This window comes from Homo sapiens, chromosome 6 (genome assembly GCF_000001405.40).
Source record: "Homo sapiens chromosome 6, GRCh38.p14 Primary Assembly".
NCBI classification, from domain to species: domain Eukaryota; kingdom Metazoa; phylum Chordata; class Mammalia; order Primates; family Hominidae; genus Homo; species Homo sapiens.
This window is the reverse complement of record NC_000006.12, coordinates 44,823,232-44,849,451: the sequence shown is the minus strand read 5'-3', so window position 1 is coordinate 44,849,451 and position 26,220 is coordinate 44,823,232. Positions and strand designations below refer to the sequence as shown.

Below are 26,220 nucleotides of genomic sequence, written 5' to 3'. Positions count from 1 at the left end.
ATCGAGACCATCCCGGCTAAAATGGTGAAACCCCGTCTCTACTAAAAAATACAAAAAATTAGCCGGGCGTAGTGGCGGGCGCCTGTAGTCCCAGCTACTTGGGAGGCTGAGGCAGGAGAATGGCGTGAACCCGGGAGGCGGAGCTTGCAGTGAGCCGAGATCCCGCCACTGCACTCCAGCCTGGGCGACAGAGCGAGACTCCGTCTCAAAAAAAAAAAAAAAAAAAAAAAAGTATTCATTTGTAGTGCTTATATCTACAGCTATGCCCTATAGAAAAGTCATATACATGGCAAGAAACAAGTGGAAGTTTGTAAATTTATTCAACAAATATTTGTTGGCCATATGTTATATTCTAGGCACTTCATGAAATTACGTTAAACTGCTCCCATGTATGGTACCCAGTGCTTCAGCTATGACTTAGCCTATAATGTCACATTGGAGTTGAAATTAAAGTTATAAGGTAGTGTTTTTATCAGTTGTTTATTTAGACTAAAATGCCTTTAAAAAGAAAGTCGTCTCTTATTCACTTCTGATTTCCTTCAAAGGAAGGTTGGGGGGAATGAAGTAGTAGGAAGTGTAGTAGGTTAAATGTTAGATGTCATTGTTTCGAGTCCTGAGTCTGTCATTGAACCACGAAATTTAGAAAAATCATTTAACCTTTTTGAGCCACAGTTTCTCATCTAAAATGGGCATAGTAATCCCCCCTGCTTTCCAGAATTACAGTTAGGTTCACATGAGAGAATGCTTGTAGAAGTACCTTGCCTATCTCTATAATATCTATTGGTCTGTAATAGAAAAGACTCTCTTATAATTGTAAGTCAGCTCACAGGAAAACCTTCATTAGAAAAGGACAGTTGCAGAGATCCACACAACAAATGTACACAGACTATTACTCTAATACTGTTCTTATCACAAGAATAAAGACAACAGAGATTTAAAACTAGGAATGAACCTGACAAATAAGGTTTTGATTTTTCTCCCTAGCCTAGTGGTTCTCTGCCCTGGCTGAACTTTGGAATTGATGCCTGGGGCCTGTCACCAGAAATTAATTGGTGCCAGTGGGTCTCAGGATATTTAAAAGTTCCCCAAGTGGCTCTAATGTACAACCAGCCAGTGTTGAGAAAAGTCACCGTGCTAGAGAAATCAATAAAAGACCTCCAGAAGTCTAGTTATGAAGACACAGGCTGGGTACAGTGGCTCACTCCTGTAATCCTAGCACTTTGGGAGGCTGAGACAGGTGGATCACTTGAGGATAGGAGTTCGAGACCAGCCTGGCCAACATGGTGAAACCCCGTCTCTACTAAAAATACAAAAAAAAATTAGCTGAGTGTGGTGGCACACACCTGTAATTCCAGCTACTCAGGAGGCTGAGGCAGGAGAATCACTTGAACCACAAGACAGAGGTTGCAGTGAGTCAAGATCATGCCACTGCACTCCAGCCTGGATAACAGAGCCAGACTCCATCTCAAAAAAAAAAAAAAAAAAAAAAAAAAGACACAGAGATAACTGTCAACACTAGAAGAAAATATTTCTGTAATGAATGGTAAAGAAAATTAGTGGAATCCATACATCTCCAACAATAGTCTATAGTAGCTTAGGTTGACATCTCACCAGTGACAAGAGCAGGAGAAGAAAAGACAGAGCATTTAAAAAATCTTCCCATAGGCTGGGTGTGGTGGCTCACGCCTGTAATCCCAGCACTTTGGGAGGCCAAGGCAGGTGGATCACCCGAGGTCAGGAGTTCGAGACCAGCCTGGCCAACATAGCGAAACCCCATCTCTACTAAAAATACAAAAATTAGCTGGGCATGGTGGCACATGCCTGTAGTCCCAGCTACTCAGAAGGCTGAGGCAGGAGAATCACTTGAACCCGGGAGGCGGAGGTTGTAGTGAGCCAAGATTGTGCCACTGCACTCCAGCCTGGGTGACAGAGCAAGACTCTGTCTCAAAAAAAAAAAAAAAATCTTCCCATAACTGTTTAAGTTTCCATTTAAAAATTAGTATTCAACCAGTAATATGATAGCTATAGAATGAGTCAAGTGGCGATAGGTATACGTAAACACAAGTGTAAGTGCTGTTTTCACAATTCTTGTTCCCTGTAGTAAATATTTAAGTAACAGCTAATCTGTGTTGTTATAACCAATCATGGCTGATTCCATGAAATGTGTAGACACTTTGATTGTGACCAGACTTGTAGTCTCAGGTCATTTCTATGCCTAACAAAATAACTGTATCAGCAATTGGAAAAGTATATAGTAGCTAGCACAGTCCCAAACTAAAATACAAGAAAAAAAATATTAGTCTTTCATTGTGATGCTAAGGGTCCAGTTCTCAGAGCATTGTCCTGATTTGTGCCCAAGGATTCAATCTCATCCTTAATATCAATTACTGAAAACAGAAAAATCACATTTATGTGTTTTCCAGTTTAAACACAGAAAAAGCCAAGAAAGTCAAACGGTAAGCCTTAAAAACTCCATCCCTGATGTGGAAATTGTTTTAGTCTTCAAAAAACTTTTCAACTGGGGCTGGGTACAGTGCCTCACGCCTGTAATCCCAGCACTTTGGGAGGCTAAGGCGGAGAGATCACCTGAGGTCAAGAGTTTGAGACCAGCCTGTCCAGCAGAGAAACCCCGTCTCTACCAAAAATACAAAAATGAGCCAGATGTGGTGGCAGATGCCTGTAATCCCAGCTACTCAGAAAGCTGAGGCAGGAGAATTGCTTGAACCCAGGAGGCGGAGGTTGCAGTGAGCCAGTATTGCGCCACTGCACTCCAGCCTGAGCGACAGAGGGAGACTCTGTCTCAAAAAGAAAAAAAAAAAAATTCAATTGGGAAAGACAAAAATGTTCAGAAAGCTCAGCCCTCCCCTGTTCTCTCCAAAGACCCTTCTCAGTTTCCTGCAATATAGACATCTATCCTGGTCTTACCTCCTTTTTCCCACTCCTTCCCTTCTAAAACCTCCCTTGTTTCTTCTGTAGTCTGGTGCACATGCTTTATTGAAGGGCTCTGAGGTTCCTCCCTTCAACTGTAAGGTTGTCTGGTGTCTGAACTACCTTTGAGCCTCTTGTCACTATCTGTGTGGTTAGCTTGTTGAAATATGCGTAAGTGTAACTCTTGAAGAGATTAGTAAATCGAACTGTTGGTATCCTTAACTAGCCTTTTGCATTAAGTTGAGGAAAAGTTCATGATTGACAAGCCTAAAGTTACAGAGCAGAGTGAGTGCAAAGTTGGAAGGCAAAGTGATGAAAAGGACAAAGGATCAGGGATGGTACTGAAATGGGAAAAATTCCCTTCTCCCCCTCACAGGGCATGCAGTGGGGGTGTGGCTCGCTTGTTCAGTGCCCCACTGCCCATACCTCTAGGGGAGCATAAAGACGGGCAGGCTGTGGGCTCTGACCCCATGGCAGTGTCTAGGGGTGAACGTTTACAGCTGAAGCCCCAGTGGGCGTGTGTTACAGGGTGCTCTTTTAGTTTAGCCGTCCATAGGCAGCTTGTGTTAGTCAGCTCAATTAGACCCCTGCCTTATCGCAAGGACAGAGGGCTTTCTGTATCCCAGGGTTCTTGCCTTGGTGTACCGGAAAAATCAGATCACACATGGGCTTGGAGAATGAGCACAAGGTTTTATTGAGTGGAAGTAGCTCTCAGCAGATAGGGGAGCCAGAAGGGAGATATTTTCCCCTGGTGTCGGGTTGCTCAGTGGCCTGGGCTCATGCCAGCGAGCTCCCCTCAACGTCCTCTTGACATCCAGCCTCTTGTGTCTTCTTCTGCCAGTGTGTTCCTCTTGATGTCCAGCCGCTTGTGTGTGTGCCCACTAGGGTCTCAGGTTTTTATAGGCACAGGATCGGGGCGTGGTGGACCAGGGTGGTCTTGGGAAATGCAACATTTGGGCAGAAGTGCCTGTCCTCACCTAGGTCTGTGGGTACAGGCCCTAGGGTGGAGCCCTCACCAGGGACCCACCCTTCTCTTCCCAGCACTTCTTTGCCCCTCTTCCATACCAGTACCAAAACAGTTTTTGAAAGCCTGCTACTTCATATACCTTTATCAAGGAGCAGTTCTTCAGAATTAGAATTCAAGCCCTCCATAGAGAAATGCCATTTCAGAGCTGTCTAGTGATTGGTATATCACTTCACAATGATAGCTTATGAATGGATGGCTTAGATGTACTCCTGTGAGTCCCAGGAGACCCTGTTTTATGCCTCACGTATCTGTTTTTCTCCCACTCAGTTTCTACCCCAGTGTCTGGTACTAGTAAGCATTCAATAAATGTTTGCCAAAATGAATGGAATTTATTGTATAATTATATACACAGTTTACCTTGGTCTTAAGGAACTCTAGTCATATAATTTTTCTATTCAACTGGGACTTTCTAATGAACATGTAGTGTGCTGCCATGTAGAAAACTAACAACTTGGAAACTTACTAAGTGCTGTGTTTCATTTCTAGTACTGTTCAAGTCCAAACAAGTACATCCTGCCTGTGATGTACAAATCCTGACCATCTCCAACAAAAGCATTATTGTGGGGGGGGTTTTGTTGTTTTATTTTACTGAGTTATAATTTGCATACAATAAAATTCATTCTTTTAAAATATATAGTTTGATGATTTTGACAAATGTATATAGCCATAAAACCACCATCACAATTAAAATATTAGAGCATTTCCATTGCTGCAAAAAAGATGTCCTGACATCTCATTATAGTCAGTCCTCTACCCCTACCATCCATAGCTCTGTCAATCACTGATGTGTTTTCTGACCCTATAATTTTCCCATTTGTAATATGTCATACAAATGCAAATTGTATATATGTACCCCTTTGAGTCTGACTTCTTTTCATTTAGCATAATGCATTTGAAGTTCATCTGTGTTATTGCATATATCAATAATACATTCCTTTTTTATTGCTGAAGAGTGTTCCCTTCTATGGGTGTACCGCATTTGGTTTCTTTGTAGTGGACATTTGGGATATTTCCAGTTTTGAGCAATTAGGAATAAAGTTTACATAAAAATATATAAATGTTCACCTATAAAACATGGACATGTTTTCATTTCTCTTGAGTTGGTAATTTTGACATAGTCTGATTTATCGATCTTTTTTTTACAGATAAGTATGTTAGCTAAGAAAGCTTTGCTTATAAGGGCACAAAAATTTTGTCCTATTTCTTCTAGAATTTTTATGGTTACTTGTGTTTGGGTCTGTGATTCATTTTCAGTTAATATTTGTACATGGTATGGGGTAAGAATCGAGGTTCACTTTTTTGCATATGGATGTCCAATTGTTCCAGCATCATATATTGAAGACTGTCCTTTCCCTATTGAGTTATCTTGGCACCTATGCTGAAAATAAATACTCCAAAAACGTGTAGGTCTATTTGGACTCTCTCATCTGTTTCACTGATCTGCATTTCTATCTGTGCCAATACCATACTGACTTGATTACTTTAGCTTTAAAATTAGGTAGTGTGCCTCCTCCCAACTTTGTTCTTTTTCTGTGCATGTGTGTGTGTGTGTGTGTGTGTGTGTGTGTGCGTGTGTGTGTGTGTGTGTGTGTTTGGCTGTTCAAGGTCCTTTGAGTTTTTATTTGGAATCAGTTTATCACTTTCTACAGAAAAGCCTGGTAGGATTTAGAAAAGAATTACACCGACTCTATAGATAAGTCTATGGAAAAATATCTTTACAATATTGTCTTCTGATCCCTTAACACAGTATCTCTCTCCACTTATATATTAATATTTAAAATTTTTCCTCTGTAGTGTTTTGTAGTTTTCATTGTACAGGTCTTACACATATTTTAAGAGTCCCCTAATTAATATTATGTTTTTATGCCATTTTAATTTCTTAATTTTTTCTTCTTGTTCACTGCTAGATATAGAAATAAAGTTTATTTTTTTCTGGTGTTGATTTTATAGCCTATAACCTTACTAAACTCTCTAGTTCCAGTAAGTTTTCTGTAGATTCTTTGGTATTTTCTATGTAAACAATTGTATTATTGTCTGTGAATACTGGCAGTTTATTTCAGCACTTCCAATCTGTATGCCTTTTGTTTTCTTTCCTTATTTCAGCTGGTATTAATGGTGAAATAGGTGCAGTGGGAGTAGATATCTTTGCTTTATCCCTGATCTTATGGAGAAATTGTTTTAGACTTTCACCACTAAGACTGATGTTAGCTGTGGGGTTTTTATGTATGTCTTTTATCAGATTGTACAGCACCATTGTTCTTGCCTGTCTATTTTTGTGTATGTATACACAACTCATTTTGAAATTTCTAATGCTTCTTCATGTATATCACTTAAAGCACCGATATAAAACAATTTATAATAATTTGCTGCTACCAAAAAGGTTTTTTGTCAGCACACTGAATTGCATGTGTCCTGAAACTAGGCTTTTATTTTTTTACTATTTCTAAAATTTCTAGAAATATTGGATATTTTTTATCCAGTCTCCCTTCAGTGGATGGACATTTGGGTAGCCACAATGTGCCCAGGTGATAATTCCCTTCCACGTAACAGTATGTTTCTTTTCAAAAGTCAGTAGACGTGGGTCTTTTTCATTGAGCAATGTCTTTTTGCTCCCACCGAAAACAAGTGACATCATTAACATTTATTATGATTCATTCTGATGTGAGCATGTATTCATAGTCACCACCATAATCTTGTGCTGATATATAGTAATGTAATAAATGGTCCCTTCTGTCTCACAGGAGACTGGATAAATAGGCCTGTCTGTAATCATGTTCCCCTTGTGTCAAAGCACAGACCATCAAACTGCTCTTATATCACTGGTATTTTAAAAAATAATCTTTCTTATCTTTATGTATCATGTAAGCATTTTTTTAAAAAAAAATAGGTATATGACAGCATGAAAAGCCTTTAAATGATTTATAGTTGGTAATGTCTTACTCTCTTTCCATTCATTTCTTTATATTGAAATAATCCCAAGACAATTGGACAGCACTGACTAGCCTCATGATCTCATGTCCTGACACTGATACCACTTACCTGTTTTTGTAGAGGAAACATTTATTTCTAAATAAATGTTAATAAACATTATTTATTAATGAATAATATTTATATTTCTAAATCCAATATGCATGTATACATATACATGATACACACAGACATCTAAGTAACTTCCTTCCTCTGCCCACCCCCAGCCCAAAGTGAGACTCCTGTGTAATAAGAACCATGACTGTTTAACTGATTCCTCAGAGCCTACCATGTGCATTTCACAGAGAATATACACAGAAAAAAATGTTGGAAAGACAAGTCATTCTCAATGTTCCCAGCATCCTATCAAAGCCTTCCTTTTAAACACAATTTCAGCACCCACACTCTGCTGTCCATTAATAGGCCATCTGCACTCTGGTGTCTGCATGGCTTCCTCCATTCAGGCCTCTAAATGTCACTTTATCAGAGAGGTAACACCTTCACCCCATCTCTCTCTGTCACCTCATCCTGCCTTATTTGTCTTTATAGCACTTACCACTGTCATTGTGTGTATATACACACACACATACAGAGACTATCTTATACCTCACTAGAAAGTAAGATTTAGTGGATTCACATGTATTCACGATACATCTCCAGCACTAAGAACTGTGCCTGACATGTCATAGGCACTTAATAAATACTTGTAAATGAGTGAATGAACAAATGAATAAGCAAAAGTAGGCCAGAGAGGCGTTTCCAAACCTGAGTTCCCCAAGAGCCTTATGCTTACAATGGGACATCTGCAGACCCAAAGATGCATTAAGCATTGTCTGTAGGGAGAATAACTGATTTTTCTTTATGTTTTTCAGTGGTATGTAGATACCATCGTGATTAATAAAATTTACTTAAATACATTATTGAAGGCTGTCAGTCATTACATATTAGATACCATTGTGATTAATAAAATTTATTTAAACACATTATTGAAGGCTTTCAATCATTACATATTTTGTTGGTCAGTGGCTACGAGAAGTACAGCACCTCCTATGTGGGTGTCTTTAAACACCTCCCAACACTTCCACATTGAGGACCAAGCCTTACCATTAGTTTTGGTGAGGCTTTAAAAAAATAGTTTTGGTGGGGAAAAACCATATTCACAGCATAGCACGGATTACCTAAACTTGAACAGTATTTAAATAAATTCTATTCACCAAATACCTATTGAGCATCTAAATGTCAGACATTACAGGAGATATAATAATGGCTAAAACAGGGTTTAAAAGGTGGAACTTATTAATTCATATAACAACTAATAATAATATCTGTTAGGACATTCTTGCTTGCTATAACAAAATACCTGAGACTAGGTAATTTATAAAGAAAAGAGGTTTTATTGGCTCATGGTTCTCCAGGCTGTACAGGAAGCATGGCAGCATCTGCTTCAGGAAGCTTCCAATAATGGCAGAAGGCAAAGGGGAAGCAGGCACATCACAGAGACAGACAGAGAGATAATACTTTCATGTACATTATCATAGCCAAACTCTCAAATTTCTCTTCTCCAAAGTTAGATGACAACATCATGTTTTAAGGTATTGCAACCTTATTTGACTTTTTCATTGGAAGTTTGACTCTTTAATATCACCATATAATTATGTTTACACAAAGAATTGGAAAGAAGGCATAGAGTCTCCATATGTTCATTTCAGCCTGGGTGGCTAAAGGGCTTCTAAGAGTCAGTGCATGAAAATGGCCTAGATTGAATAAATTAGCAAAATCACAAAAGGAAACCACTATAGGAAATAGTTTTACACATGTAATTGCTGAAATCCTATAGTGAATGTGTCAATCTGTACTAACTAAATAAATTTGTTTATAGACATGTTCTGTATTAGCTTCCACTCTTTCACAGACCTTTGCCAAACAAAATCCCACTAGAAGTAGGATGTTCACACCCGAGTAGGAGTTTCTTGGATAAATATTTTTACTATATGGAGACCAAAACCACTTTTACAAATTTTAGACTTTGATTGAAATACTATATTTCTTTTGCTTTTTTCTCCCATCTTTTCTTCTGGCAGCTACTTGTGCATTAGCTTACCTCCTCTCACCTCCCACGGGTCTGCTGAACAAGAGACTGGCTGCATGCACAGGAGGCCAGGCAGTCCCGAAAGTGGTGAGACCAGCTTACCCAGTCACTCCCACCACCAATTGGACTGGAGAGACAGAGGAAGGTCCATTTGCCCTTCTCCTAAAACCTAGTTGAAATTATTCCTTGAATTAAGCATAGAGATTATACATTGAGGCTATATTTTATAGAATGCCTGTTTACATTTCATTTGACTGCTACATGAATAGAATACATAAAGGTAGAATTTATGCAGCTGGTCCTCAAGAAATCGCAGTAAAAGTTATTGAAATATAACAGCCACATTCTTTTGTAAGGATGACTCTGATCTCAACTTTTGCCAACCAGTTTGGACAAGAATTTCAACTGACTTCTTAATTCAGTAGTCAAAAACTGGTGCTGGGCTGGGTGCGGTGGCTCACGCCTGTAATCCCAGCACTTTGGGAGGCCAAGGCGGGCGGATCACGAGGTCAGGAGATCGAGACCATCCTGGCTAACACGGTGAAACCCCATCTCTACTAAAAATACAAAAAGTAGCCGGGCGTGGTGGCGGGCACCTGTAGTCCCAGCTACTCGGGAGGCTGAGGCAGGAGAATGGCATGAACCCGGGAGGTGGAGCTTGCAGTGAGCCGAGATGGCGCCACTGCACTCCAGCCTGGGCGACAGAGAGAGACTCCGTCTCAAAAAAGAAAAAAAAAACTGGTGCTGAATTTTTCATAGGCCCTTTTGAGGATCCATTTTGTTAATTTGGCTGTTGAGTAATAAAATATTTTTAATAAGTATTTTTAATTATAATAACTTATGTTAAAAGTGAAACAAGGGGCCAGGCATGATGGGTAGCTAAGGCAAGAAGATCATTCAAGCCCAGGAGTTCAAGACCAGCCTGGGCAACAAAGTGAGACCCTCATCTCTAAAAAAAATTTTTTTAATTAGCTGAGCGTGGTGGTGCACACCTGCAGTCCCAGCTACTCAGGAGGCTGAGGTGGGAGAATTGCTTGAGTGTGGGAGATTGGGGCTTCATTGAGCCATGATCACACCACATCACTCTAGCCTGGGCGAGACCCAGTTTCAAAAAAAAATAATAATAATAGTGAAACAAACATTTATTTTTGATGCGCTTAAGCCTTTTCACTGTGTTTATGAGACAATGTAACCAGTAGGCAGTTGACTTGGACAATAGTGTGATAAGGGTGATCTGGGCCAGTGCAGGATCCTAGTTACCATGAGCCCAAAAGCTCACCTTTTAGAATTAATTAGAATAATACCCAATAAAATGAGTACTGTCACTACCACATAAATAATATATCTGACTTGGGATGGCTCCACAACTCGGATCTTGTCATTTAATATGATAGCTCTGTTCAAATTAATCTTTCACATCAGAGGAGACACTTTTGTTATTTATGATATGTTGGAGATAAATTTTCAGAATGGTTAAGGCATATTATTGTAAATGTCCATGGCAAATTTAACACAACTCTGTTTTAGAAATATAGATGTGTAATATGTACAAGGTAAAAGTATGTTCACAGTGTCTCAAGAACACCTAACTTTAAGGAAAGAGACACAAAGGCATGGAAGAGGCATGCCCCCCTATTGTCAGTCCACAGCAGTTCAGCTTGGAAATAAATGCCAACAGAGAGTACTCTAATTTAATATAAAGAGTTTATGCCAGGCCCTAAAGCAGTGATTCAAGAGAATCACTTGGTTGAATGCTTATGAGTATCTCGGACCTGAATTTGGATAAGCTCTTTAGTGGTAGGTAGTTTGGGTTGGTGTCTCAGACTTAGCATTTATTGACTAGCCTATAGATTGGCATTTGGAAACAAGATAAGTCAAGATCTCTCTCCTCTTGGCCTTACTTAAAACACTTTTTTGTCCCCTGAACCCATCCCCTTCCCGTCCCCAACTCAGATCTCAGCTGTGTGACTTCTTCAAGAAACCTCCTTGATGACCACCATCTCCCTCTACTGCCCTCTTACACAGCCCATTACACTCTATTCTCATTTTGTAACTTCCATCACTTTTGGCATTTCTCATTCAGTATGTGTCTTCCCCCTCAGCCTGTTCACCACAGAGGGCAGGAACCACATCTGTGATCCTGCTGTACCCACTGTACCTTGTACTCTGTGTTTTTTGAATGAATAAGTAAAATGACAGTAGGTTCATACAGACATACACCTTCTCTATCATTTCTCAGCCTTTTGGCTAAAATCAAGTGTAAAAATATATCTTCTCAGGTGGCTACCGAATGTAATTGATATTATTAACTACCATCTCCTGATTTTTGTCATAATTTTTTATTTATTGTCTTTAAAGAATTCTTAAAGACCTTAATTGTAATTTACTTACTGTCCAATCAAATTGGTGTTGACCATTGGCAAACAGCTATTGCTATCTGTGTTCTTACTCCTTGTATGGTGTTTTAATGTGGCAAAGGCCATTGAGAAGGCGGGGGAAGGCCATAGCAACAGTATTTTCTTTTTGTTTTTGTCTTACATCAGTATTGTCTAAGACCTTGAAAATGCAATTGAGTAACATGACTACAAAACCAAGATTGTAAAAAAAATTATATTATCTACTACAAACTTACTGTTGATTATAATTTTTGGTAACAGAGTATTTGAACCTAAAATGTTTATAGACTCAACAAAATAATTTCACAGTGTTGTTTTAGATGAATTGAATATTCTTTTTCTGGCAAACAAAGCAATTGGCTTGATTGATGCATAACTTTTCACTGTTGACTGATAATCAGTAAGAAGAAGCCCAGAAATGCTCCCAGTGGGAACTGAGACCTAATATCAGAATAACTGCTTTGCAACATTGCTAGTGGTTGGGCTATCAAGGTCACTAATTTAGTTTTCTTAATAACTGGTGCTGATGGTTCTCTTGCAAAATGGTAAGTGTGTGGTCTAAGCCCACTTTTTAGGAACTGAGACTATCCAGCCCCTGCTCTAATGATGAGCACATCAGCATTTCCCATTATTGCCCAGAGGAAAAGAAGCTACCTGCTAGTCAAATTCATTCATTCATTAGATGACTATTTATTAAGCATTTAATTTATTTCATGCATTGGGTTATGCCTTAGACATACAGAAATAAACAGAACAGTAAGTTCCCTTCCTTCTGGAGGTTATAGGTTACTCAAGCGAAATGAGAATTAACTGTTGTTAGAGCTGAGCCCCCAAACAATTGTTATTTGGGTTACTAACTCCTGCCAATTTGGCACTTTTTGGCCGTTCTTTTTGTTTTTATCTTGTATCAGTATTGTCTAAGACCTTGAAAATGCAGTTGAGTAACATGACTACAAAACCAAGATTGTAAAAAAAAGAGTATTTGATGTTATCTATTACAAACCTACTATTGATTCTAATTTTTGGTAACAGTATGTGAACCTAAAATGTTTACTTATATGTGTTTGCAGCTTGGAATAATTTGAGACATTTGTTTTGATTGTCTTTAATATAAAAGTAGCTGAAGACAAGTTTAATATTATTGGTGTTAAGTTACTATTAAACAAAGATGTATGTAAGTGCATGTAGTGTCATGGAAAGAATTTATACATAGTCTCATAAAATTGCTGAAGATAATATTTACAAAAAACCTTTTTTTCCTAAAATACAATGTTGTATTTATTAGCCACTTAATTATTTTGCTCAACAACAAAAAAGTCTTAATATATCTCATAATTTGAAATGACTTGGGCAATTATGAATGGTAACTTTTAATAACTAAATTTAATCTAGAGATTTTTGTATTCAGACTGCCAAAACAACTTGGTAATAACTCAAGAATTTATAAAAGTCCAATGTTAGTATTTTCAATAAAATAAGAAGAGACTGGCATAGAGTTAGGGAAAATCGGGCATAAAATGACAAGTTCCTCAAGATTTATGGGCTCTGGGTTACATGGACTACAATGAGAGTTAATACTATGTTTTTTTCCCATTCTGCCAGCCGGAGAAGACCTCTTATTTAAAGGGCAGGGCTCCCTCCACTGTTGTTAAATCAGGGCTCTGCTTCTGACAGGATATTTATAACATAGGGCAAGTATACAAAAGAAAAATGTTTAATGATGAGTTTTGCATGTTATACAGTGCTATATATCATATGGTTTAATTTAGGTCCTCTGAAATATCAGAGTTAGAATGAAATTATCAAAAGGAGAAAAGTCACATGGCATGGTGCAAACAAGATGTGCCTATTTGTATTTATGTTTGCTAATGAAATTCAGCCATGATTCCCACTTTGATTTTAAGAGTCTTAGACCACCATTTGGCTTTATTCATTATAATTAAATATCTTGCCCACACGCAGACACAAGGGCAGCAAAGAAAGGGGCATATTTTATCTTTTAAAAAGCGATTGCATAGCTTTCATATGAAACTCCTGAACTTCCAGGATTTATAGTATTAAAGCAAAACAATATGTCTTTCAGAGCACGGTCATCTTCTTAGGCAAATGGAGGGCTTAGACTCAGAATCTAATGACCTCACAGAGACCAGGGCTGAATTCGGACATATGGGAGCAGTTGAATTTGAAACAACCTAAGTTTGAGACAACTTGGCATAGTCTCTCTTCTACCAGAAGAGAGATTGAAAAAGGCCTGTTAGAAGCACAACTGATTTTTACTATAAAGCTTGGGAGTGGGGTGGGACAGAGAGGGGGACTAATTTAGTTGACCTAAACAGCATTTATACATGAAATTCAGAAATGTACCTACCATCCCAACGGTGGCTCAACTGAGTATTCCAATAAACCAGACATTTAGGTTAACAAGTAAGAGTTAGTGAAAGCCTGTTGCTTCTAGTTTATTCTACTACCTCCCTACCTTTTTCTCCCAGCAAAGCAAAGCCAGCATAGAACCTCAACCCTCTGTGCCCATCTTCATCCCTTTCAACCTCAACCCTCTGTGCCCATCTTCATCCCTTTCAACCTCAACCCTCTGTGCCCTCACATCCCAAGATGTGAAGAATTTGGAAAACCCCAGGCTCTTGGTGACAGGGCAGCTCCTGTGGCCCACAGATCATCCTAGAGACAGAGCATGTATACTCTATACTTAGTTAATTAGGAGTTAACAGTAGTTTGGGAGAGGGTGAATGTATGCTCCAAATCTTTTTTATCGTCCCTTTTACTGCTTGATTTAACCCAAACTTGCCAACTCCAAACAGCTCCACGCAGGCCATATTATTTGCTCAACCCAAAATCAGATACTGAGCATAGCCATAGTAAGACTTCCATGAAAACACATGGTGTATCAACCCCCTGAAGGTCCTAAAGATGCATACATTTGCCACAGAACCTTTCAGCTATGTATATCTATCTTATTTTGATGCTTTGTCCATTTATCAGAATTATTATTTTGGGCACTCAGGAAAATTAAGTGATTCTCCAGGGGAGGGCTAATCATAAAGCAGAAAAGCCCAAGGTAGAACTCAAAGCTTATAATGGCTTGACCTCTACCTGCTCAGCTATATTGTTTCGGACATAATTAAGTTGTGTTCCTTCCTTCCCCCTCCCCTAACCGCCCCTCCGCCAACTCCACCAGTTTCTTCACTTTTGTTCTGCTCCCAAGGGCTGTTCTTTATCCAGAAAAACTGTTTCTTTCCCTGCATCTGTTTTCCCCATTAAGGCCGGGGAAGCTAAACACATAGCTTTGGGCAGAATCAGAACCATCTGCAACAAGCCCTAAACTGAGTCAGGAATCCTAGGCGAAAACCATGTGACTGTGGATGGGTCACTCTCTCTGGGCATTAGTTTTTTCATCTGTTAAATTAAGAATGGGGCCAGAGGAATTCACAAAGATACTTTCCAATTCCAAAGTTCTATTGTTCCTTGATTCTAGATGTTAGTAAAGGGTTTGTTCAGCTTGGTTTAGCAGGCTTAGTTTCCAAATTCCTTTTTCACTATAGTATTAAACATGTTGTGGCAGTCAGACAGACTGTGCTCCTAACAGTGGCATCTCAGCATCTTGGGGGCGGAAAGCAATGCCTAATCTACAGATAACCTAAAGTGAGAGATACAGGTAACCCATCTGCTGTGGATAAAAGCCACAATCTGAAAACTTCAATTTCTGCCTCTTCCATGTTAAATTTACTAAATGCCAAAATTAGAATTTCCATTAGGAAATATTTATTTACTCCATAATCATGACAGATTCTGAAAATGTTCCATTTATTGACGAAACCATTATTGGGTCCTGTTAATGATCTCCTCATCCATTTTACCACTGTTCTCAGCTCTCACTATGCACCTGGGATACTTCTAAGACATTCCAAAGCCTAATCTCCACTCAGACCCATTGGCTTTGAAGAACTGGAGCTACAGCATCTGTGTCTTTTAAAGCTCCCCAAGTGATTTGGGTGCAATGTTCTATACTATACACTATTCTTAAAGTTAGTTTGGAAAATAAGCAGTAGTTGAGAAAGCCTCCAAAGTGAAGATGATTTAGATTTAAGGTCCATTGTCTGTACTCGGAAGTATTATACCTGGCTGATTTAGCTTAAATTTGAAATAAAATTGTAATTTACCCTTTAAGTGATGTTTAGCAAGAACTGAGTTTGTTAGGACTAAGAGAATATGTGTATCTACAGTGCTCTGGGTGGAATTGGGGCAGGGGACTGTCTGGTTTGTTTTGTTTATTGTAAGACAATGTAGTATAATGAAAAGAACACAGGCCCTGGGTTTTAAATCCAAAATCTACTCTTTTACTAATTGTGGTAAGGCTCAAATTAGATACAGACATGAAAATATTTCATAAACCATAAAACCATGTATCTCAGCATTTTTTAATCTTTGCCCCTCCCTACTTTGAGAAATAGACAAATCTCATGCCTTTCGAAAGTGTAAGTAAGTTCAAATTAAATATTGTGATTAGAAGCAAAAAAACAAAAGCCTGCTTTGTTTTCTCCCTCCTTTCTCACTTTGAGAATGACCTCTCAGTGCATTTTACTTGTGGTGGTTAAAACTTGAATGTGAAACTGGAAGTTTAGTGAAGCCAGGGACTGTCTATTTATCTTAGTGTCCTGTTGTACCACCAAGCACACAGTGATTTACAGAATAAGAACTCAGTAAAAATTTGCTGAAATCATATTAAGCAAATTTATAGGAATTCAGACAATAGAACCAAAACCTCTTTCTTATGCCTTTGAGAAATAAAGTATTTGTAGGAGAGTTTGGGACTTACTTACTACAGTGAGATTCTTATGCTAGTTTATTTAAGATTTGAGAAAGCAGAAGAGAATCAGGAAAGGTAATAGAATAAAACAAGTCTGTACTGGAAGAAAGACTGGTGTTTATAGTTAATGTTTTAATAAGTAGGCTAATGGCAAACATAATACGCAGTAATATTTAAGTCGGAACTACAAAGTAAGTTTTGTAGCATGTGTCCTTTTAAGAAAAATATTAATCTTTTGCTTTTTAATATTCATTTGTATCCCCTAAGATGTATCAATTTATGATAACCCATAAAAAACAGAAGTAAACCACTATGGGATTTAAATGTTTTCTCTACCTTGTCCATATGAAGTAAAAAACAGTCACTTTAAAAAGTACACACTTAGAAATTAATTACCCCACAGTGCCCAGTGCAGTAGGTAAAATCTGTATCTGCTTATCCAGGTAGATTGACATTCTGGCACAGGTCGTAATTTGGCACTGTATGAATAAATGAATGTCAAAAATTGGGTCCTCAATTAAAAAAAATGGGAACTATGAATTCCTAATTTTATAACTAATTGGGCCTTAAACACATTAAGTATTGTCTTTGCTGTGAACTTTAAGAGATGCTAAAATGTCTGAGCTTTTCAGCAAATTCACAAAGGAGCAACTGATGTTGAGAACAGAGCTTTATTAAACCAGAAATGAACCTTAAGTAGTATATAGGCACGTAGGATCCAGTTTGTTGGGGAGGTCTAATTGTGTTATTGATTAAGCTATAATTTTCAGTAGTGGGTGGAAGTCCTGACTCTTTCTGGTCAAAGCCTGGATTTTACTAACTAGGAGTGTCTGTAAAGATAGATACAGAACTGGGAATCATTCATAGGGTCTGACAGAAGAAAGTAAGTGGGATACAAAGTATTCCATGAGAATGTGGCCTCTGGAAGGCCCTCACACCAAGCAATGTTTAAATTTAGTTTCAACATTTGCAACACAAATAGAGAGAAATTTACAGTTGACGTGAAGATGAGTTGTTGTCTTCATCCATCTTCCTGTAAAGTTGCTTATTCTGGAAAGCATGCCAAAGTTGGGACGTTCCCATAATTGCCCTACATAGACAATGTACATCCTTTGTACATCAAAAGGAAAAAGCAGTGACTCAAAATAGAGTACCCTAGGGAATATGTTTACTGAAATTGCTCTTCACTAATTACACATGCTTGTTTGTTCCTTCTTTATTTATTTCAGAATTCAAATGGGAAGAACATCACAGAAATCTGGGTCAACTCTAAACTTTGGTTTTCTCATAGGATCTGTGTTATTAAATAAGTTATTAAAAAAAAATCTTTTGTTTGCAAAGCAGTGATAAATCATCTGTGAAGGTGAATCGATCTTTCAAAAGTGACCTTTTCCATGCTAATAAGAACTATTTTATATTGCCCCGTCTGAAAAGATTAAAACCTGGTTATTTCTCAGGTGAACTCAGCTAAGACTCAGTCTCCCTCTAAGCCAAAACCTCCTTTCTCAAGCAAGGCTCACTTCAACACTGTATGTTTAGAAGGAATGCAGCCTTACTCCTAGGTCCATTTAACTCCATATAAAACCATCCCTGTGCTTTAAATAATACATGATGTTAAAGATTGTCACTGTGGTTATAAAATTTAAAATATCAAGGTCAAGAAGCTAAGAGTATTACTTTGGCATAAGCCTCTCTGTAAGGCAGCCGTGGTGGTAGGAGCTGTTTGTTTCACAGACTGAGGCTCCACTGCCTGTGGTTGTGGGAAGACACCCTATGCATTCCTGCAAGTTATTTGTGGCTCTCTGAGGCATTCACTTAACACTGTTCTATAGCGCAATTTTAGGAAGTAGAGTTGGAATTTTCTAGTCCTTGTTAGAATGTTTTCTTCAATCCAGAAGTGTTCTACAACACAAAAAGCCCCATGGTAAAGAACAAGCTCACAGAAAGAACACTGAGGAATGACACTTGGAATGTGCCACTGTTTTGTCATCCCTGATACACTGATCTGGAGTGAACTGCATAGCAGCATAACTAAGCAAAGAAATTTCAGCCAGGGCGCCAAAGCCTGACAAGCACAGTAAATCTTCTTAAGCAGGATATTTGGAGAGAAGGTTTTCAAGTTAATTGAATTTTATGATTAAGAGAAGGTTATCTAGAAAACTATATTTGTTTCACCTCATGTTGATGGAAGTCTTTCTAAAAGGGTTAAGTCTACTTTCCATTTTTAGTATAATTAATTATAAATGTGGTTTAATTATTTTTTAAGATGAAGATTTCACTGCCTCCATAGCATTATCTTGATCGTAAAAGGTTATTCTGTATTTCTTAAAATATGGCTGTGGCTGTTCAAGGTTAATTCATTGGGCTGGAAGTATACAGACTCCAGAACTGCTTCAGAGTTATTAGCCTAAGGGGGAAAAATCCCTAACCTGAATTTTATGATTTTCTTTGTTTTTCTGAAAAGATTGACGGTTATGAATTCTCTGGATGTGACTGTTACTAGTTTAAATGATTAAAAATGTGCCAGGGAAAGGGAAATTTTATTCCTAAGTCCTGAATTTTAGTTCTGCTCCCCTCTGGGTCTTATGGTGGAATTCAGGATGTTACAGAGACCCTGTGTGATCCAGGTCTCCCAACACTGAAATGCAAAATATGTCTCTTGGAATGAAAAGCATGCAACTTTTCTTTCTTTACTGAAACGTATTAATTATTGCACTTAGAATCCATTTTCCCATTTTCTTTTATGGGAGTATTTTATCCCACCATGCATATCCATGTGTACATCTGTACGTACAGGTATGTATATAAAATTATATAAGATTTGCATTTTTGATACTGTCTACAATATGCAGAACTATACAGAACTCCTTTGAGATCATCATATTTTAGGGAGGAGGAGAGGCCTCTATTAGTGTCTGTTCCGACAGCTTTTCACTCAGACTATAAATTAGGCCCGGGAAGGGCCAGTAATGAGTCAGTAATTTATAGACTATTAAGATACTTAGTTAGTTAGAAGTGATTCCTGAGCATATCGAATAGAGAACACATGTTTATAAAAGACAAACAGATTCAATACATCTCTTTGGCCTAACCAAGCCCAATCAGTTAACAAAATGGGATGTCTTATTTTATGTATCTGCTACTTCCCAAAAATAGAATCACTAACCACTTGTTAACCACACTGACTTTTTAATAGACAGAATGGTTGCTATAGTTTTGCCACCAGAAATATTCAGATTAAGCATTCTATTAGATTGTAGCCAGCAGAGTCTACAAAACAGGAAGAGGGCTCTGCTTGCTTTTTGCCTCCTTTCCTTGTTTGACTTCATGTGATAATTCATTGCAGATTTCTTTTTCTTTGACAGAATGCCTACCGCAGGAATGGGATGGCTTTTCTAGCCTGCTGATGTGACAACTGTGATGTGCCTGCAACAACAGGAAAGGCAATGTTATATTAAGGTGATTTCTTGTGAACAAAATAAAATACAAATTTACCTTTCTTTTATCTGAGGGAGTGGGCTGGTCTGTTGTGACTTTCAACTTGCTGACTCCTCCTCTTTTCCAGCCCCTCAACCATCGGTCTTGTTTACTAGATGGGCTGTTCAGCTAATTAATGGCAGGATGTTTAGGATAGTCTGTAGGTGGACAAGAATGCAGATCACACAGTTTTGAAATTTTAATTTGAGTAGATTTACTGCCCTCAGCTCACATACCTTAAAAGCAGTGGTTGCCCCCGTCCAGCGTTTTGTCTGCATTTTATTTGATATATTTTATAATCCAGGTTTGGAACAAGGAAACAAAATTAAAAGGACAGTGAGTTTTCGCCTTCCCTTACACCACCAACTTTACTTTCCAACATTTGTTGACATGTGTTTTAGTGACAGCTATCCATTTTATAAACTTACAGTAATCAAAGATCTAACAGACCTGATAAATCACCTGTTCCCACCTCCTTTCCCCTTCACTCCACTTATAGTATGTGTCATTTTCAATGCCTGCTTCCCAACTTCCTGCCATCTGCCTTTCATGTGTGTTTTTCCTCACACAGAACCTCTTCCTCCATCTTCATTTCCCTCCTTTTCCTGTTCCTCCAATCCCCAGATCCACCACTCCTGCACATGCCATACACATTTAGAAGCCAAGTATTCAGAATCAGTAGAAGGGGAGCAGAGTGATTTCTTGCTTCCTCCCTTCAAAGCACTACCACACCTAGACTGGAAATGTGGGCTGGGTAATTTCTTGCTGTTAGCAGCCGAGCTACCCTTCTGGCATCTATACTTTCTCCAGTAAATGAGGAACCGTAACTCTTTGGAACAAACCAAAATATAGCAGATGTAATTGTACAGTTCCTGATTAAACTTCAGTTGCAAAAAAGAAAGTTATTTCTTTAATTCTGTGGGAGTTTTGTATAATTTTACTTTTATGGTTTTTACACATACTTGAAACACTCTTTCTAAAGAATTAATAAAAACAGAAATGAGAAACATGAAAGATCTTTTTCTTGATACTGCTCCTTTTTCTTGATACTGCTCAAGAGAGCAAGCCTCTCTTGATACTGCTTCCTAGATTTAAGGGTAAAGAAAGTAGAAATAGTTCTCCCTTCACCCAAATTTGGAAGTATAAAACTTTCTGAACATGCCATTTAGAGGTTATGTCATTAGCTTTCCTGCCTTCTTATATTGTAATAGTTGCGATTCAAAAACACTGTTTCAATTTTAAATTCAAGACTTTTTATTTGAAAACCATCAGACTCAAAGAATTATGAGGCTCAGTTAATATTATTATGCCACATTATTTACATTTGTTAACTGTCATTTACCTGCTCTATGTTAATCTTTTTAGAAAAAATTTGCATTTCAGAAACAAAAAGCACGGATAGATATATAATATCAAAATATTCCCAAAGGATTTTGATGTTCCATCTATGCTTGTTAAAATGTATGATTATGATTAAACTTTTTATCATTCTTATTTTCCTTGGCATCCATAATCATGGAAAATTACAAGCTTGCAGTAAACATCCTAACTTAACTTAACTTTTAAACGATAGCATTTATTGTATTTGGTTTTGATCTGCCAGGCTTATAGATGGTATAAAATTTTCAGGGGATAATTTTTCACATCAAAATTCCTTCTCTCCCACATTATACATTTTAAAGTATGCACAAGGCAGAAAATATAGGGTTTGGGTTTTTTTCCTTCGTTTTATTCCACCTGATCTCCTTATAGTCCCAGAGAAGGAAGACTCAATGTACATTTCTCTCAGAAATATGACAGGTCTGTGTTTTTGTTGGTCTGGCATATGTTTGTCTATCTTGAACAGTCTGACAGGTAATTATTTATAAAATCTGGTTTTGCCCAGTAAGTTCATATAAAACCTTTCATTTTTCATCATAAGCCAGTAAGCTGAATTTAGAATAAAGCAAGGTCATTTATGTCTGTCCTGAACCAGCCTACATGTCCCCATAATTGCTCAATATTTTTAATTCCCTTTTCTATTTTTTATACTTAGGTTCTTTCTCTGACTCTTTGCACAATACTAAATTTGAAGTGAAATAAAACTTCCTTCAGCAGTGACTATAGAAACAAAAGAAAATTTACAGAAGGAATGTTTAAGAAAACTTCAGTAAATTATTTTCTCAATAATCATAATGTTAGAGCAGAAGATAGTCTTAGAGATCATTAAGAACAGCTGCTCATCTTGCAAATGAAAAAACCATGGCCTAGAGAGGGAAAGTGAGTTTCCTAAGATCACTCAATAATGTAGTGACAGACCAGAGATGAGAATCGATGGTCCCTAATTTTCAGTCGGTATTATACAGTATTTTCTACCATACTGGGTTAGCATAAGAATATTACTAAGACATGTTGGGGTTTTATGGCATATTTATCCTAGACAACGATGTAAATTTATTTAAAAACTGTACTAATTATGGATACATCCTAAAGCATACGTGTTATATAGTAAAATCTTCAGTGTGACTGTGGTATTAAGTAAACAGTCTGTTATCTTACACATCAGGCTTAACTCTAAGTCAAATGGAAATATACAAAGCTAGTTTCTATTTTTTGTCCCTTGTATTTTAGAGACTGAATTTGAAAATAAATAAGCCAATAAATAAATAGCGTCTCTTGATACTGCTTCCTAGATTTAAGGGTAAAGAAAGTAGAAATATTTCTCCCTTCACCTAAATTTGGAAGTATAACTTTCTGAACGTGCCATTTAGAGGGTTATGCCATTAGCTTTCCTGCCTTCTTAGATTGTAATCGTTGTGATTCAAAAATACTGTTTCAATTTTAAAACCAAGACTTTTTATTTGAAAACCATCAGAAGCACAAATATTTTTTAAATGGTGTATATAATTCCTGTATCTGGGGAGAACCCTTCATTTATTGCTGTTCTTTGTTTTTATAAAATAATAAACAAGCCATGTCTGATGCTTTTACCATGTAGAAGACAAATAAACATAACTGGTGATTCTTGGTCTGAAAGAAAACATGTTTACTTGTTTAGAATTAATTATAAAGTTTAATTTTATGAATTTTTTTACGTAGTTCTCAAATCAGGCAATGCTTTCCAGTTCATATAACCTCTTGTGTAAAACTGAATCACTAAAGAGAACATATTCTCTCATCTGCCCCCCTGGAATTTGGATAGAACCTTTCCAGGCTACATTTAAAATTCTACCATCAACCATGTATACATCTCATAAAATATTTTACAGTTTCCTGTATGCTCTGGCCGAACATTTCATAGTACATAAACACTCTGCAAATAATCTAAGGGCATCAAGTTGAATATGTCATAGCAGTGGCCACTACAAAGAGCTAATTCTCCAGCAACACAGTTTCTTATTTTTACCTTCTTATTTGAAACTCAAGATGAAACTTTACATGCTATTGTTGTACAGTGGCAGGGGTGAGAAGAGAGCAGGGAACTCTAGCAGTTTTTGTGGAATTGTGTTCATTAAAGCAAAGGCTTTCTGCAGAGGGCATCTAGCCAAGCTTAAACAACAAAACTTTGCCTGCAGGAATTGGATGTAAATGTGATGGTTAAATAAGGGCCAGATGTCGTTAAAAACTCAAATATTAGAAAGTCGTATCTCTTAAAGAAAGTCTCAAATGTTGTAAGTCGGATACTGATACCATGATACCTAAAGAAAGAGACGAGACTTGCATTTGTTTTCCAGAGCAAGATAGATAGTAAATAGTCAAGCTGTCATAAGTCATGGAAGTTTTGGCAATTGAAGCATATTTTAAAGCAATCAATTCCTGCAGTCACAAGAACGCCGCATACATATTTCATTGTTGGGAGCCACTGTAATTATCTGTACAGCATTGTGTTCATGATCCCTTTTCTGCTCATCACTACTGAATATTCACTATTCTCATTTTTTTCAAAGGAGGGTAAAGATAGATAGATAGGAAAAAAAGAAGGAGGCAAGGCTCAAGATGATCAAAATATAGTTTTACTTATACCAGGTAACACTCTACTTGCTATCAAAAATGATGATGTATTGTGTCAGCATTTTAATAAGCTATGACATAATAATTACAGCACACCATGTGCTACCCTGTGTACTAAGCAGTTTGTGCGATTTATCTCATTTAATACTCACAGCCCCACTACCAGATATGCCCTGTTGCCCACAGGCAGGAGAGAGGAAACTGAGGAACAGCAGATTAAATGTCTTATGCAGAATTACCCAAGGTAGAGCTGGCTTTTGTACCCAGCACTTTGATCCCAAAGCTCATGCTGTTAACCACTGTTACACAACGTGGACTGTACTGGAGTAGAGATTTCTGAGACCATATTAAAGAGAATTGCTGCCTGACCTTGAACCTAGAAGCACTTCTCAGAACCAGAAAATTTGATTGCAAGAAAATTTTAACTTAACATTCCTCCTCTAATGCCAAGTATTATGTATATAATAGAATATTATATCATGTACAATAGAATATAATTATATAGGCTCATGCCAAGTTTTTAATAATGTCTTAAGCCTCAAGATAAATGTATATAATCAATGAATATACTAAAAAGTCCCTATACAAATTATGGGAAAAAATTCCTCAAAGATCCATGTATACAAAGCTTCTCTCCTTTCTGAAGACCAGATTTCCCCAGAAGGCTCTGTTTACAGGCTACCGTTTCACGCTTTCATACAAGGTATGTATCCATGTTATAAAATAATTCCCATCTTGTTTACGTGTTTGCAGCAGCAGATACAAAAGTACATATGGCAATGCCCTGAAACTTTAAATAAATGACCCTTTTAAAGGCTTGCTCATTAATTCATTAATTATATAGTAGTCATAGTTTTTCCCAGCCTGACATGTTTGTGTGTGAGGCAGGTCTGGGGGAAGTGGTGTATGGAAATAAATAGGAAAGTGGAAAAAAAGCTACCATGCACAATTTGAATTACAAAGGATAGTTTTCCATTCCACTCAGTAGTTAGCAGCAGCTTTGTTTTACAGAGAGAGAGAGTCAGGTCTCTCTTTGTTGCCCAGGCTGATCTCAAACTCTTGGACTCAAGTGATCCTCCCACCTTGGCCTCCCAAAATGCTGGGATTATAGGCATGAGCCACCACACCCAGTCAGCAGCTTCTTTAATTCAACCCTAAGTTTGTTCTGCCTCAGGACAAGCCACCTTCTGATTTATGTCCTTTAAGATTCCAAATAACTGCACCAGCCTGTGGTACAACTTTCTTTTCTGAATTTTTTTTTTAAGATGGGGTCTCCCTATATCACTGAGGCTGGTCTCCAACTCCTAGGTGCAAGCAGTCCTCCCACCTCAGCCTCCTGATTAGCTGGGACTACAGGCACAAGCCACCTCACCCAGCTATTTCTGAATGGTTTTAAGTGTGTCTTCCAGCTACTTCACTTGGGAAGAGTTAGTTCACCTGCCAATGCATTGGCCACTTGTCACCCCTCCCTGACCTAAACATACCAGTCAGTCAAGCAAGCAGACACTAAGCAGCACCAACTACTGCAGCTCATGAGTTGGCTTGCCACACTTCCATAGGTTTGGCCTGTAAGGAAACGGTGAGCCCAAATGGCTTTAGACAGTCTGTTACACAGCTACATAAGCAAGATCGGCACAGTGTCAACTTCCCACGTTCCTAATCCCACAGGAAGATACCAAGCCAGAGGGGCCAATTGACAGAAGACATGAGTGACTGGGGGGTTACCATGTCATGGAGGAGCCAACTCTAAACCACAGCCAAGCAGTTTTTTGGTTTTGTTTTTTGTGTTTTTGAGACAGAGTTTCACTCTTGTTGCCCAGGCTGGAGTGCAATGGCTCGATCTCAGCTCACTGCAACCTCCACCTCCCAGGTTCAAGCGATTCTCCTGCCTCAGCCTCCCGAGTAGCTGGGATTACAGGCGCCTGCCACCACGCCCAGCTAATTTTTTGTATTTTTAGTAGAGACGGGGTTTCACTATGTTGGCCAGGTTGGTCTCGAACTCCTGACCTCGGGCGATCCACCCGCCTCAGCCTCCCAAAGTGCTGGGATTACAGGCGTGAGCCACCGTGCCTGGCCAGCCAAGCAGTTTTATAGCTTGCATTCACATCCCAAAGGGGGCTGAGGTGGAAAGACCTTTGCCTTACCAGAACTAGGGAGTCAGATGCAAAACTACCTGTGGCAGCTCCTCTCAAGAGTGGCTGTCTTGCTGTGTTCCTGTGACAATCACAGAGGAAGGTCCCTATGGCCTAGGTAGGGCTGCGTGGCCTATGTGGAGATGAGGTCTCCTGGGAGCCCTTCCATGGCAATGTGTAGAAGGTCAGGTGTTTCTGTTAGCAGTATGCAAAATCAATCTGCCTCTTCTTTCCTAGGTTTTCATGGTGGTCTCCTTCCCTAGCTCTTTCCCATAAAGTTTCCTGCCTGTCTCAGCACATAGCACCCTTTGCTTCCTCTGAACTCTAAGCCCTTGTTGTTCTCTCTGCTTCCTATTTAGTATCCCTGATCATCTGTCCATGTGCCTTTAGAC

General features: G+C 38.3%; 1 protein-coding gene and 1 long non-coding RNA gene across 27 annotated transcripts in view; one reads left to right on the top strand and one right to left on the bottom strand.

The window, feature by feature from the left end:
- The window catches only part of SUPT3H (SPT3 homolog, SAGA and STAGA complex component), a 568,878-nt gene that overhangs the window by 528,483 nt on the left and 14,175 nt on the right, over positions 1 to 26,220 (top strand). For 17 of the 23 annotated variants that reach the window (NM_001350327.2, NM_001350325.2, NM_001261823.2 and 14 more), the window contains one exon: positions 19,595 to 22,726. In NM_001350327.2, the coding sequence (NP_001337256.1) occupies positions 19,595 to 19,636 (42 nt within the window). In that variant the 3' untranslated portion in view covers positions 19,637 to 22,726. Of the gene's footprint in view, positions 1 to 19,594; positions 22,727 to 26,220 lie in introns of those variants that run through there. The other 6 variants (NR_146632.2, NR_146634.2, NR_146633.1 and 3 more) reach the window with 1 other exon arrangement.
- Positions 16,342 to 26,220, bottom strand: part of LOC101929770 (uncharacterized) — a 105,175-nt gene continuing 95,296 nt past the window's right edge. For all 4 annotated transcript variants that reach the window (XR_926855.3, XR_007059598.1, XR_007059596.1 and 1 more), the window contains one exon: positions 16,342 to 19,864. This is a non-coding gene — a long non-coding RNA (uncharacterized LOC101929770). The remainder of the gene's footprint in view (positions 19,865 to 26,220) is intronic.